Below are 15367 nucleotides of genomic sequence, written 5' to 3'. Positions count from 1 at the left end.
CATCAAATGTAGTTAATAGTTCCTATCACACTACCTCAGGTAGTTCTAAAGATTAACATGTTTTCTATTAAAATAATCTTTTAAAGTGATTTATACTTGCAAGTCATGATTTCACTATTTTTTTTGTTATTAGTGTCATTACTATTGATATCACTTTTGTTGATCCATCTTTTTTTTTTTTTTTTGAAACAGGGTCTCACTCTATGCCATCCAGGCTGGAGGGCAGTGGCATAAGCATAACTCATTGCATTCTGAATCTTCTGGGTTCAAGCGATCCTCCCACCTCAGCCTCCTGATTAGCTGGAACTGCAGGTGTGTACCACCACAGCTGGATAATTTTCCTTTTTTCTTTTTTCTTTTTTTTGGTGGAGACGAGGTCTCACTACATTGCTCAGGATGGTTTTGAACTCCTAAGCACATGCAACCCTCCCACCTCTGCCTTCCAAAGTGTTGGGATTACAGGTATGAGCCACTATGCCCAGCCTTGATTCAACGTTTTTAAAAGACTTATTTACTGTCATCCATTTCGTTCTTCTTTTATTCAAAAAATATTCAGTAAATGCCTATCAAGTGCCAGGTTCTGTCCTAGGCACTGCAGACACGCTAGCCAACAATGAGTATGTGATTCCCACCCTGATGGAATAGAGCAGTTGAACAATTGTTGTTTATGATGCCCCCGTCACAGGAAGACATTCCCTAAATGACCCCATCTAAAGAATATGCCCCATATACTGCTATCATTCTCCATTACATCACTTTGTTCAGTTTTATTCACAAAAAACTCTATCTGTAATTATTCAATTTATATATTTCTTATATATATTTATATATTAATTAAGATATTATTGAGGATATTCAATCTCTCCCCACAATTGATACTCCAATGAAAGAGCCACTTTTTATCTTATCCCCTCCTATATTCACAGCCCCTGAGGCAAGGTCTAGAAATTACTAGCATCTTCTCCACTATTTGCTTAATAAATTAACTGTGAGGTCAACTATTTCTATATTATTACTTATAGCACTTATAGCAGATGGCATGAAATCATGTCAGTTTCTCATGGATAGACTCTAGGAAGATACCCTATGTCTCAATCCCTGGCCACCCTTCACAGCCACTCTCCTGGGGAATTTCATGGCTCTCTCCAACTTATCCACTGTTGCTTTTTGGAAGAAATTCTATAAAAAGGCATACACAGTATAATATTATTTGTATAACTAATTATTTGTATATTTAATATTATTTGTATAATTATTTGCAGAATTAATATATATCCATGTGATCCAATATTTATGTTAGATATTTGATATGTAGAAATTTTTAAGTCCCTATAAAATAACCCTATAAAATAATGCCTATCAGTAGACATTTAAACTTCTTCTTTTTTTTTTTTTTTTTTGAGATGGAGTTTAGCTCTCATTGCCCAGGCTGAAGTGCAATGGCGCGATCTCAGCTCACTGCAACCTCTGCCTCCCAGATTTAAGCGATTTGCCTGCCTCAGTCTCCCAAGTAGCTGGGATTACAGGCATGCACCACCAGGCCTGGCTAATTTTTTTGTAGTTTTAGTAGAGACGAGGTTTCACCACGTTGGCCAGGCTGGTTTCGAACTCCTGACCTCAGGTGACCCGCCTGCCTTGGCCTCCCAAAGTGCTGGGATTACAGGCGTGAGCCACCCAGGCTGGCCTAACATTTAAACTCTGATTAATAAAGAGAACTGTGATGATTTCTATAAAATTTTGAAATTTTTTGAAAATTTTTGTCAATTTGAAATTTTCAAACTTTGAAAATTTTGAAAATTTGAAAAATTTTGTCAGAGAGATGACACTGCCTGCACCCCATATCACCAGTGAAACTTTAATTCTGCTGAGTAATCAGGTTTACCTTACACAATTTGAATATTATCAATATTGCGAATATTGTCTGTATACGTGATTTAGAGGTTTGGTTTTCATTTATTTTTTAGTGACTGTTCATATTAATCCAACTGCAATCCTCTTTCATCAAGACACACTGTTTTCAAATGGCTGAATATGTATGTGCTTCCTATGGCTGTAAAGTAGAGCTGCTTTTATTCTTCAACAGCATCTCATGAGTCCTTGTGTATGCCATGCACTGTGTAGGGAATTAGGCATAATCCCTCATGTTGTTAGGTGCTGTACAGTTTAATAAGCAGTTTGTCATATGTATCACAATCTCACATTCATTCTGGAAATTTGGAACTGTCTCTACTTTGTAGGGTTCCTGTCGGAATACAATGAGAAATATATAAAAGCCCTTAACACAGTATGAAACATACAAGTGCTTAATAGCTATTAGCTATAACAATGATATGAAATATATTTCCATCCTGATTTTACAAAAAGTCAGAAAGAAGTAACATTTTTACCTAGTTGTGGCAGAACAAAGCCTAGTTTGATTATTTCCAAATCTAGTATGAATTCTATCACCCTATATCTGCCTTTATAACAAACGTGTAATATTAAAACCCAATACGCCCAATGGAAAAAGGAGAAAGGAACCCAAGTGTCCATTTTTGATAAACAAAATGTAGTATATACATACAATGGAATACTATTCGGTCTTTAAAAAAAAAGGAAATTCTGACATTTACTACAACTTGGATCTACCTGGAGGACATTATGCTAAGTAAAATAAGCCAGACACAGAAAAACAAATATGTATGATTCCATTTATATCAGTTAGCAAAAGTAGTCAACTTCATGGGAACAGAAAGCAGAACAGTGGTGGCCTGGAGCTTGCCGATTGGAGGAAATGGAAAGTTAGTGTTTAATGGGTAGAGAGTTTCAGTTTGGGAAACAAAAACATTCTGGAGATAGATGACGGCTACAGTTGCAGAGCAATTTGAAATTATTCAATGACTCAGAATAATACACTTAAAAATATTAAAATGGCAAATTATATGTTATGCATATTTTACCAGAATTTTTAAAAACCTCAATGGCAAGGCCAGACTTTAGCCATTTTCATTAAACAACAGAATGAATGAATTAATACAGATGATGGTAATCTCCCAAATTGTTGCAGGAAAGCTAGGCATTTTTCTTCTTGGCCATTTCTTTTGTTTTTTTATTTATTTGTTTGCTTGTTTTGTGAGATGGAGTCTCACTGTATCACCCAGGCAGGATGGAGTGCAATGAGGCAATCTCAGCTCACTGCAACCTCCATCTCCTGGGTTAAAGTGATTCTCCTGCCTCAGCCTCCTGAGTAACTGGTATTAATGCACGCGCCATTACTCACTGAAGACAGTTGTTCCCTCTTCCTTAAAACTCTAGGTTGATAAGATTTAACACATTCAATTCAGATTAGAGGTCTGCTGATTTTATGTTATTTACCTGAAACTGCATCTCACTTAAGCCCTCCAACCACAGAATATCTATATCAAGTATCTGATGGGTATTTATTTTAATGGAAAAGCAAAAGGCTGATAGAGATTTGTGTGACATAAGGTGATGTACATATCATGCATGAAAAATACAATTCAAGCTATATAATATGACTCTCCCTTGGCATATTCATTCTTAAAGTATTCTAAGATTGTGTAGTGCCAAACACAATATTTTTCTTTTGTCAGTTCTCCAAAGTGAAACTTGACCACTGAAGTCTAAAGGGTGTACAGCAACAAAGCACAAATAGATGAAACTTTAAATTCCTTCAAGTAACATCTGAGGCCACGAAAGCATGGAGAACATGATTGCCTTAAAAAGTACAGTTTCCAGAAATTCTCGTAAGAATTCCTCGGCAGGCTTATGGCTAGAAGCCAACTTTCTCTTTCTCTCTCTCTCTCTCAAAAAAAAAAAGTTTTGGATATTTTCCCATCTTGACATTTTAGAGAGATCTAAGGCATTGCCAGATGTCATGTGTGTATGCGGTATTTTTTTTAATCATACTTTTTAAAAATCTTAATTTGCATTCAGTTTTGAGTTTCAGAATCAGGAAAGTCTGAAATTTGATAGAAAGGGTTAACATTTTTTATCCAATATGATTTTTATATATATATATATATACATATATATAATATATACATACATATATATATATATCCTAACTAGAGAAATATCACAGACTTCCTGGCTTCCCTCCAAAGACTTTACCAGTCAGGCACATTGGCTCAATTCCCACTCTACTCTAAAATGTCTTTTTAGTTTGCTTTTCTTTGTCTTTTTCATATTCTAACTGCATAAACTGTTTACCACTAATGCTATGGAGCTTCCCTCCAGTGAGTCAGATTAAAAACATGGTTATTTAATAATCACTAAGTCATACTGGAAAAAATGACTTTTTCAATCAAATGCTTTATTTCCATAAACCCACAGTACTCTCTACAAATCTGGATTTGCACTTGAATGTATTCAAGTTCTTCTGCCACAGTGAAAGGCCATTTCAAGAACCTCTATATTCTTTGCCAACATTTTTGTCTATAAATACTTAGTACTTCATATGGCTCCAGAAAAATAATTTCCAAACTAGTAACAAATACTAAATTGCCTATTTAGAAAGTCTTATAAAACCTTAAACGGAAGGGGGAAAAAAACTGGACTGGCAGATTTAGAGAGTTCCACACCATCAGGTAGGAAATTGCCTTTTCCCTTTTTGTTCATAATCTCTACCTACCTGAGTCAGAGTAGAACTTCCACACATGAACTCACCATTTTCCCTGATTAAAACTATGGTAAGTTAGTTGGCAAAAGTTACCAAAGCCAATGTTTGCATATACTATTTTGCAGTACTTTCTTAAATGCTAGTCAAGGAAAGGTGAATTTTGGGGATATCTGATTAAAAATGGCAATGGTCACCCTAAATTTCACCTATAAGGAAGGTTTTTCATTTTAACCATCTCTCATGGAAACTGACTGACTTTGAACAACTGAATAACTTAACTTTCTATGATATACGGTTGAAAAAACTAGTTACAGAGTATGTTATTTTTTCCCCCAACCTGCTATTTAAACTATGTGTATTTACATATTGACTCCTATGTATTTTTCATATATTCCACAGTTCTTGGCACGTTAATAGGTGCTTAAAACATACGCAGTCCTTTACTTTCCTGGATTAGTGTGTAGATTCTGGAACCAGAATACTTGGGTTCAAGTCTATTGCTGACAGTTACAAATTGTATGACCTTGAAAAATACCCTCTATAACCTTTGTGTTCTTCATTTCCTCACCTGTAAAATGTGATGTTTCATAGAATGTTTATAAATATTAAATGATTTAATATATGTACAGTGTGTAGAAAAATGTCTGGCAAATGCTATTTCCAGCTCTACCAATAATTGCTTCCAGTAAATTTTACCTGGAAGAATTATAATTGGTGGATGAGACTTTGTGGAGCAATGTGGTAAAATAAATTGATAACATTTGATGCATATTTGCGATGCTAAAATTAAAAGGGAAACTTCTGGTTTATTTATATTCTAACTAAACTAAAGAAAAGCTTCTGTATGGCAAAAGAAACTATCAACAGAGTGAACAAACATCCTACAGAATGCAAAAAAAATTTGCAAACTATGCATCTGACAAAGGTCTAATATCCAGCATCTACAAGGAACTTAAACACATTTACACATAAAAATAACAAATACCATTAAAAAGTGGGCAAAGGACATGAACAGACACTTTTCAAAAAAAAGACATACATATGGCCAACAAGCATATGACAAAAAGCTCAATATCACTGATCATTAGAGAAATGCAAGTCAAAACCACAATGAGATACCATCTCATACAAGCAGAATGGCTATTACTAAAAAGTCAAAAAAATAACAGATGCTGGCAAGCTTTCAGAGAAAAAATAACATGTGTACACCGTAGGTGGGACTGTAAATTAGTTCAACCATTGTGAAAGACAGTGTGGCAATTCTTCCAAGACCTAAAACAGAAATACCATTCAACCCAGCAATCCCATTACTGGGTATATACCCAAAGGAATATGCATCATTCTATTGTAAAGATGCACATGTTATGTTCATTGCAACACTATTCACAATGGCAAAGACGTGGAATCAACCCAAATACCCATCAATGGTAGACCAGATTAAAAATATATATATAGTACATACACACCATGGAATACTACGCAGCCATTAAAAGAACAAGATCATGTCCTTTGCAGGAACATGGATGGAGCTGGAGACCATTTCCTTACCCAACTAACCTGGGAACAGAAAACCAAATATTCCATGTTCTTACTAATAAGTGGGAGCTAAATGAGGAGAACATATAAACACATAGAAGGGAACAACACATACTGGGGTCTATTAGAGGGCAGAGGATGGGAGGAGGGAGAGCATCAGGAAAAATAACTAATGGGTACTAGCCTTAATTAATACCTGGGTGATGAAATAATCTGTACAACAAACCCCATGACAGAAGTTTACCTATATCAGCAGTCCCCAACCTTTTTGGCACCAGGGACCAGTTTTGTGGAAGACAATTGTTCCACAGAGCAGGGTGGGGCAGGTCTCATAAGGGCACGCAATCTAGATCTCTCACATGCTCACTTCACAATAGGGTTCACGCTCCCACGAGAATCCAAAGCAGGGGCTGATCTGACAGAAGGCAGAGCTCAGGTGGTAATGCTCGTTAGCCTGCCGCTCACCTCCTGCTGTGCGTCCCGGTTCCTAACAGACCACAGACCCGTACTGGTCAGTGGCCCCGGGGTTGGGAACTCCTGACCTATATAACGAACCTGTACATTTAGCTCTGAACTTAAAATAAAAGTTAAATCTATAAAGGAGGATAATTCTAATTTAGTTATATTCAAGGCGTTTCTGTTTCCCATACTAGTTTTAGTCAAATATTCATTTTCTATTACTTTATCATATACTTTATTTCTTAAATATACTTTCCTCTTTTCCTACAGCTAATGATCTTGTTTAAACAGCAGTCATAACTCTCCAGCTTACTGCAATAGTCTATGAATCTCCTGGCAACCAGTCTTGCTATCCTCAAGTATATAATAGCTCTCTCGTCAGAAATAACAAGAACCTAATTAGACTATTGGAAACAGAAATGGTGGTATGAATAGGAAAGACAATAGAGAGCAAAACTGATAAGACTTCACCATTTATTTACATATAGGAAGCAAGAAAAAAAGAGAAAGAGGAGTCAAGGAATAAAGTTGAGGTTTTCAGCTTGAATGATGAGAAGAGAGTCCACATTCTTTTGGACAACATATCCAAGCTCGTGGCTACTTTCATGGATACTACACTCCAAATGCAAATTTTAATCTAGACTTCTCTGTTGTGCTCCAGTTCACATATCCATCTGCCTGCTGGATATTTCCACTGGTATCTCAGAGTGACCTCACATTTAACAAGGTCCTGAACTAATTTATTGTCTTCTTGTTATGACTCCTCATCCGGTATTCCCTAACTCATCATCCACTTAGTTGCTCAAGGCAGAAACTAAGCCATCTTCCTTGGTTCTTCCATCATCTTCCACATCTACATTCAATTCGTCATCAAGAAATACCAGGACCACATCTTCAACACATCTCCACTCAATGCATGTACCTCCAACTCTACTATCAACTGTTAGTCCAGGGCCCCAAGTTCTCCATGCTCAATTTCTAAATCCGCAATGCCCCCAACCTCTAACTGTTTTCTTTTCATGTAGCCAGAAAGCTTTTTATGAAACACAAATAAGATAAAGTCAATAATTTGATAAAAACTCTTGATGGCTTCTCATTTTGGTATGAGAACTACCAAACTTTTAGTCTTACTTTGGGTGCTCTTCACTCTCACACCCAAGCTGACCTTCCAGGGTCTCTTCTCAGTTTCCTTTCAGCACTCCATGCACCAGCTGAAAAAACCTCACTTCCTTCAGTTATACAGAGTTGTATGCGTTTCCAGCTCATGGCATTTATGCATACTACTCTTTCTGCTCAGAAAACTGACTCCTGACCACTGAAGATGGCCTAGTTAATTCAAGCGATCCTTCGTATCGCAGTTTAAATATCACTTCCACCGAGACTCCTTTAGTGACTCCTCTGGTGATCCACAGTCTAGTTTGGGTTCCCTTCTAATATATTCTGAAAGTCCCCTATTCTTTCTCCTTATCATATGCTTATCATAATTTATTAAAATACGTTATTAATAACTGGCTTTCTTAATAGACAGGGTGAAGTTGAAATTCACGGGGGGCTAAATTTCTAGGTCCAGCACATAAACAGATTGTGATGCTGAAGAAGAGACAGAAGTAAAAAGAGATCAACATAAATGTGACAGATGATGCTATAAGATTACTACAAGAATCACTATAGAGAGAAAAAAGTCCAAGAAAAGGTATTTGAAAAAAACTACATTTAATTTGTAGCAAGAGGGAGGATGAAAGAGGGGAAGCTAGAGTGAGGGCACACATGGGGTGGAGAGAAGAGAGAAAGAGAGAGAGAGAGAGAGAAGGAATAGGAACATCCACAAAAGTAAGCAAAAAATAAGCAAGTTTCAAGAACCTCCATCAGTCCATCAACAACGGACAACTGTTTCTGCTCACTTTTGCATCCTTGAAATCTAGAATGATTGTAATGCACAGTAGACTCTAAGCAAATATATGTTAAATTAATGGCCAGCATTAAAAGTTTTCCAGGAACTATCAATAGGGGAACATATAAATGAAATATTAAGTAAGCCTTTCTGCAAACTAAACAGTGATGAGATAATAAGTAGTGAATATAATAATCCATAATCGTTGCAATTCCAAAATCAAATCTAGTTTTAAAAAATAAGCTACAGGCCAGGCACGGTGGCTCACACCTGCAATCCCAGTACTTTGAGAGGCCAAGGTGGACGGATCATGAGGTCAGGAGATCGAGCCCATCCTGGCCAACATAGTGAAACCCCGTCTCTACTAAAATACAAAAAATTAGCCAGGAGTGGTGGCATGCGCCTGTTGTCCCAGCTACTTGGGAGGCTGAGGCAGGGGAATCGCTTGAACCCAGGAGGCGGAGGTTTTAGTGAGCCGAGATCATACCACTGCACTCCAGGCTGGCAATACAGCAAGATTCTTTCTCAAAAAAATATATATATAAATTAAAAAAAAGCTATATTGATATAGAATTGAAAAAATAAAAAAAATTAAACTAACATGGTATGATTTAATCTAAAATAAGTTTAATTTTAGGATTCCATTCCCAGTACATCACTCTAAAACGAGGAGCAAATCAGGAGGAATTATAGCTGAATACAAATATTAAAAAGTGGCTACATATATTCACTTCTATTTGCTTCTCTCAAACTAAGAAATTATATATAAATATATATAAGCACCCAATTTCATTAACACATTGCTTTATTACAGGTGAGAACATGACTAACACTTACAAATTCCATGTCTTTGAAATTATGCATTTATTCCTAAGGACACCCACATATATGTACATAGTTTGCCTTGTATACAATTTTTATTGTTGTGAAAAATGATTTGATAATTTCAGTCTTTTAAATTTTTTAACTATTTGAAAAACTTCTTTTTGCTTTACTAAATTTTTTTTTTCAAATGAGTTCTAAAAGTTTCACATTTATATAAACCATCCAACTAATGCCAAGCTAGGAAAAGACTGTCTTCCCTTTAGTTTGGTTTTGGTGTTTGTTTTATTTTTTGACTAGTCAAGTGCAGTAGTCGGGGGGTGGGGAAGTAAAATAAGGAGTTCTGTCTGTAATTGGCCATGACCAATCAGTTGAGATAACTCATTACCTTCAGACCAGCTATCTTCCCTTTTGACATAATCACACTAGCTGGATTCCCTCACATAGCTTTTGAATACTGTATGTTTAATAGAAATCATCCTGTATTTTTTATTCTCTTACTTGACAAAGTTCTCTATTCAAAGAAGAATATATAGTGCAATACATTTTCCTCTATCAAAAGTAATTTTGGATATTTTACTAATATTTAAAATTCATATGGTATTCAACCATGTAAAAAAGGCCAAACAGTAAATGTAAATCTGTATATCTCTAGACCAGATCCTAAACTGAATAATTCCTCTACCCAATTCTTCGCTTGCAGATTTTGGGAATCTTTTTCCCTGCATCAGAAGAGAAGAATCATTTCTCTTCTAATATCATACCACCAAACTTCTCAAAATATTACCTACTCATGTCATCATGACAGCTCTACCTATAATTTCAACTAATATCTTTCAATGTATACCTGATGTCCGGCTAGGTTCTCAGAATGTTCTCTTACACTGGACAGAACATGATGCTTGCCCTCAATCTATTTACAGTCTTGCCCTCTTGAAAAGAAATATATAGTCTGCATATCCCTAAAAAGTTGAGAAAGGAAAAAAAAATGTTTATGTGTAAACACACACATACGCTTTTAATCAAAAACCATGATAATATAAGGGTAAATATAACAAAATAACAATGCAAGGAAACATTGTATTATCAGCACATCATGAATCTGAAGAGTGGTACAGCAGTCAAGAACATCTAGTGAGAGAGGGGACTGAAATGGCAATTGAGTATAAGCAAATTTCAAAGGTCTTTCAATGAGAAGTCTGATCCAGAGTCTACCCATGGTTAGTAGGGAAAATAATAGAATCTGGGACTTAAAATAAACAAGGCAACATTCTACACAAGCAGTTGAGATAGAAGTCCAATAGTCATTTTGTCCCATTGCTCATGGGAATCTCCGTGCTTAATGGATAACTGGAGTGCATCCTAGTGAGGCTGGGATTTGCACATGAGAACAAATAGAGCTCATGACTGACGTAGGAAGACATAGAATGACAAGCGGGTCAGAACGGTTGCAGGTAATAAAACGACCACTTTTCTATAAGGACTATCTTGCCTTCCCACATCTCCTCTATTCTATTTTCTGAAACAGAGCAAATAACTCTTTCTCTGTGTGGCTTCTGTAGCATATAATAACCCACAGTTTGTAAATTCACAATTTTAAAATTAATTGTTTGGTTGCCTATCCTCCCTGTTAGGGCATATGTATTTTTATATCATCTAGCACAGTCTCAATCAAGGTTGCAGAGTTTGAATGAACACTTGTCAGATCACCTCTCAGTATTTACCACCTGCACACCATCCTTTTAAACAAAGACAATGACTTTATATTTCTCAAATCTCTCATGAGCATATGGGCCTCTACCCCATCACTAACCATTGACTGTCACATGCCATCTCACTCCCTGTGCCTTCCGGATTAACAATTTGATGGATCTCATTCTTTTTATTCCCCTTGTACCTTGTTACTGCTTTCACTGTCATGCCATACCAAACTGTTTCATAGGTGTAACTGCTCCAGATGCTTAGTTAATAATAGACTGAAATCCCAAAGAACAGAGATATATTTTTATTATTTCTGAATTCCCTCCAACACTTATCACAGGAGAGAATTGAGATCTAATACATATTCATTGCAGCTAATTGAATTGAACTTTGCCCCACTGGGGAAAAATGTAATATTTAGCCATACAGTAGCTAGCAATTTGACACTAAATTTAATAAAATGTATTTGAAACAATACACATCAGTGCACTCATTTAATAAATATTTAATAAATATTTATAAATAATAAATAAATAAAATAAATAATAATAAAAATATAAATAAAATAAAATAAAAATAATAAAATAAATAAATAAAATAAATAATAAATAAATAAAAAATTTAATAAATATTAAATCCTTAAATATTTATCCCAGAATTTGTGAAATTAAGCAAGACCATATTTTAAACATTTGCAAATTTTAGTAAACTAAACTTTTAATGAAGTAAAGATGGCTATGCCTCTAATAGCATATCTGCAATCCATCCTCCTCCCCTAAAGACATGTTAAGTTTTGTGAGTATAGTCAGGGGGATGACTACAATTAAGTGCATATGTATTATTGTTCAGTACAAATAGCATAGGTTTATTGTAATTATGGCTTTGCTGGTCAGCCTCTTCTTCTTCTAGACAGTGAGTTCCTTGAGAACAGTAACTGTTTACTCAGGTCCTTAGACATAATAGGTTTGATTAAAGAGTTCCTGAATTAGTGAGTTATGTGAGAAATAATGACTTCACAGTGGGACTCTACCGAGGGAGCAATAATAAGAACGGCTAATCTGTGATCTATGTGCCAAACTCCCCGCTAAGAACTTTATATTCATGACATAATTGTGTCCTCCTTACAAGCCTGTGTGGGAAACGTGATGAAAATGTTTTGAAAATGAAGAAATGAAAATTTAATGAAGTTAACTGACTTGGTAAGGTCACGAAGTCAGTAAATTGGGAAAGTGGAATATGAACCCAGACATGATGACTCCAGATCTCTTAGCCATTGAGGAAAGAGAGAAAGAGGTGTTAATTCCTGGAGTAGTGGAAGTGCTGGTGCTAGCAATGCGTAAAGGAGGAAATATTGCGAAGGGGCATGAGAGCTTTTAGAATGTCAGAGACCTGATTAATAGATTAACAGAAAAGAACAAAAGATAAGATGGATTAGACTAGAGAAACAAGGAAAGGCAATGGCAGGAGGGAGAGGAAGACAGTTTAGGACACTTGAATTTAGGTTGTTTCATCCTGAGGGAAAATCCATCTAGGGAATTTGGGCGAGTGGAATCCAGTGGAGAGTCAATAAGTAGTGTTTTCAGAGTTAAGATTAAGCACTGTAATCTTTGGAACTACTTCTCCCTCCCAGAGATCCAGGCTGGAGCCTGTGAGTAAAAGAAATTTAAACAGGCAAGAAATAAAAACAAAATGAAACAACCTCCCTCCCCACAAACACACAGGCAAAAACGTAAGGGCATTTGTTCCCTGAATGCTGGTATCACATAGTTACCTTTCACTATGAATTTATATGAAAGTACGATTTTCTTCTGAAATTAAGTTACTCTCCACTAATTCAGTTTTCTCTTTGAAGTTTCTCTTCTCTTTTGGTTATGATACTCATACCAACATGAAAGTATGTTTTTGATTTAAAAGGATAATTAGAAGATAATAGGATTATAATGATCTCATAGTTACATTTTTAAGACTGATAAATCTTACCCTGCCTTTAGTCCATTTACTGAGTAACAGTATTATAAATCACAGCGAATTAAATTATTTGCATTTGAACATATAAGCAGTATATTCTCCAAAATATCCCACTTAATGAATATGTATGAACTCAATATATTTGGAGGTAAATTGGCCATCGGCATATATTGCCAGTTTAGCATTTTAATACAAATAACTCAATTATTAGGAAAACAACAACATCCATTAAAATCAAGATACTTAACCACCTAATTCCAGAGTAAGAAGATTTTTTCCATTTGGCCTTAAGACGTGGGGTGAATTATCTCCACCTGACTATGACTCACTTTTCTCATTAGGAAAATGGGGAAACTAGTAGTATCTATATCATAGAATAATTGGGGGCATTAAATGTGCTACTATGTGATGATGTGCCAGACTAGAACCTGGCTAATTCTATATAGATATTTATGCTGCTGCTTCTATTATTTGTTGAAAATTTGTCCACTAAGTCTGATCATAAGTTTAATATGGACAAATCAATAATGGCAATGATTACTCATGCACAATTAAATACTTAATAAAACAATGATAAGGTAATCATGTTTTGTATAACAAACTTGTTTGTATGATTTATAATACCTACAATATAGGTCCTAGTAAAAGTACAATGTAAGTGATTTTACTTTCCACTTCTAGCTGTCTTTCCTTCTACTAACTATAATTTTTAGCTCCTCAAACCCATAACCCCACATCAAATCTTCACAAACATAGAAAACGTGGATGTAGATAAGGGGTCCCCAACCCCTGGGCCACAGACCATTACCTGATAGGAAACCGGCCTGATATGAACTGGGCCACACAGCAGGAGGTGAGCGGTGAGCAGTGAGCAAGGGAGTGAAGCTTCATCTCTATTTATAGCCGCTTCCCATCTTCCCATCACTCACTTTATCACCTGAGCTCTGCCTCCTGTCAGATCAGCCACAGCATTAGATTCTCATAGGAGCACAAACCCTATTGTGAAGTGCGCATGTGAGGGATCTAAGTTGCACGCTCCTTATGAGAATCCAATGGTGATGATCTGTCACTGTATCCCTTTATACCCAGATGGGAACATCTAGTTGCAGGAAAACGAGTTCAGGACTCCCACTAATTCTGCATTATGATGAGTTGTATAACTATTTCATTAGATATTACAATATAATAATAATAGAAATAAAGTGCACGATAAATGTAATGCACTTGAATCATCCTGAAACTATCCCTCCACCTGGGTCCATGGAAAAATTGTCTTCCATGAAACCGGTCCCTGGTGCCAAAAAGGTTGGGGATCGCTGATGAAGATGGTAAATGAAACTCATTTCTCCTAACATAACAGGTAAATTTGTCCATAATAAGGTTTCAGTTATTTAAAACACTGGAACATAAAATTAAACACAAGATTTCTAAAGAAAAAAAGGTTAATTTCATTTCTTTTTTTCCTATATACTCACTTATAATCACACTGGAGTTCCCCCGCCCAAGCTGGCTTACTTAAAAGAATTCTGGTCTGGCTTACTTAAAAGAACCATACTTAACTGACTACAAAGGAAACTAATACCAAGGGGTAAAAGGAAACAATCTTACAGCTCTATGAAGTAGTTAGCTTTTCCTTTCATATGTAAAGGGGAAGGGATGTATGGCCCAGTTACTTCATTAATCTGTTGGAATTGACAATGTCAAGACGTTTTCTGAGGCTGTTTACCACAACAAACGAGAGCATCCACGGTAAATGACAACCCCCTAGGAGGAAGGTCTGAGCCCTTTGTAAAGGCCCTTGATTCAAACATATTCACAAAGCACATGCCAGCAGTGTTCAACAATGTATATGCTTAGTTGTTACTCCCTAAGCCTAAATTGCAATGAGGAGATAAAATATTTTGTTTCTCTTTAGTGAAAGCAGTAAAATCCATAAGAATGAGCAGTTAAAATAACATCTCTTGTATTTGTATGAAAATCTAATGTTAACAAATACAGCTGAAATGGCAAATGTATCTCATTTACTTAATGCTAATGACCATATTAGTAAAATCATTTCAATTAAAATTCCATTTGATTCCTTTGTTACTATTAAAGTACCCGAATAATCTATTTATTACCTGGGTTAAGGTATAAATCTATCCCAAATCTTATCTTTAGGTCTTTTTGCTCTACAAGAATCTGTATCAATTTAACTGAGAAAATGACAAATTTTATTATCAATCGAGAGACTGTACATTTGCCTAAATTCATGAAAAAACTGGAATAACTCATTCAGGTATATTTATTCAGTAAAAATGTATTTATCATTTTACTCTATTATTTCTCATAACTCCCTAAAAGGTTTCAACGCTTCTTTTTGTTTACAG

At 35.6% G+C, this 15367-nt stretch overlaps 1 protein-coding gene across 6 annotated transcripts in view, besides 2 other annotated features; it reads right to left on the bottom strand.

Moving 5' to 3' along the window:
- FAT4 (FAT atypical cadherin 4) overlaps positions 1-15367 on the bottom strand; it is a 177978-nt gene that overhangs the window by 120384 nt on the left and 42227 nt on the right. The gene's annotated exons all lie outside the window — the stretch shown is intronic.
- Positions 13632-14421: an enhancer, noted in NCBI's record as "OCT4-NANOG hESC enhancer chr4:126279283-126280072 (GRCh37/hg19 assembly coordinates)". NCBI's record gives its function as "activates a minimal SCP1, AML or CMV promoter by ChIP-STARR-seq in primed H9 embryonic stem cells {active_cell/tissue: H9 hESC(primed)}" and the evidence as "EXISTENCE:reporter gene assay evidence [ECO:0000049][PMID:30033119]".
- Positions 14422-15213: an enhancer, noted in NCBI's record as "OCT4-NANOG hESC enhancer chr4:126278491-126279282 (GRCh37/hg19 assembly coordinates)". NCBI's record gives its function as "activates a minimal SCP1, AML or CMV promoter by ChIP-STARR-seq in naive and primed H9 embryonic stem cells {active_cell/tissue: H9 hESC(naive and primed)}" and the evidence as "EXISTENCE:reporter gene assay evidence [ECO:0000049][PMID:30033119]".

Source organism: Homo sapiens, chromosome 4, assembly GCF_000001405.40.
Source record: "Homo sapiens chromosome 4, GRCh38.p14 Primary Assembly".
NCBI lineage: Eukaryota > Metazoa > Chordata > Mammalia > Primates > Hominidae > Homo > Homo sapiens.
The sequence above is the reverse complement of the archived record's forward strand: the minus strand, read 5'-3'. Positions and strand labels throughout refer to the sequence as shown.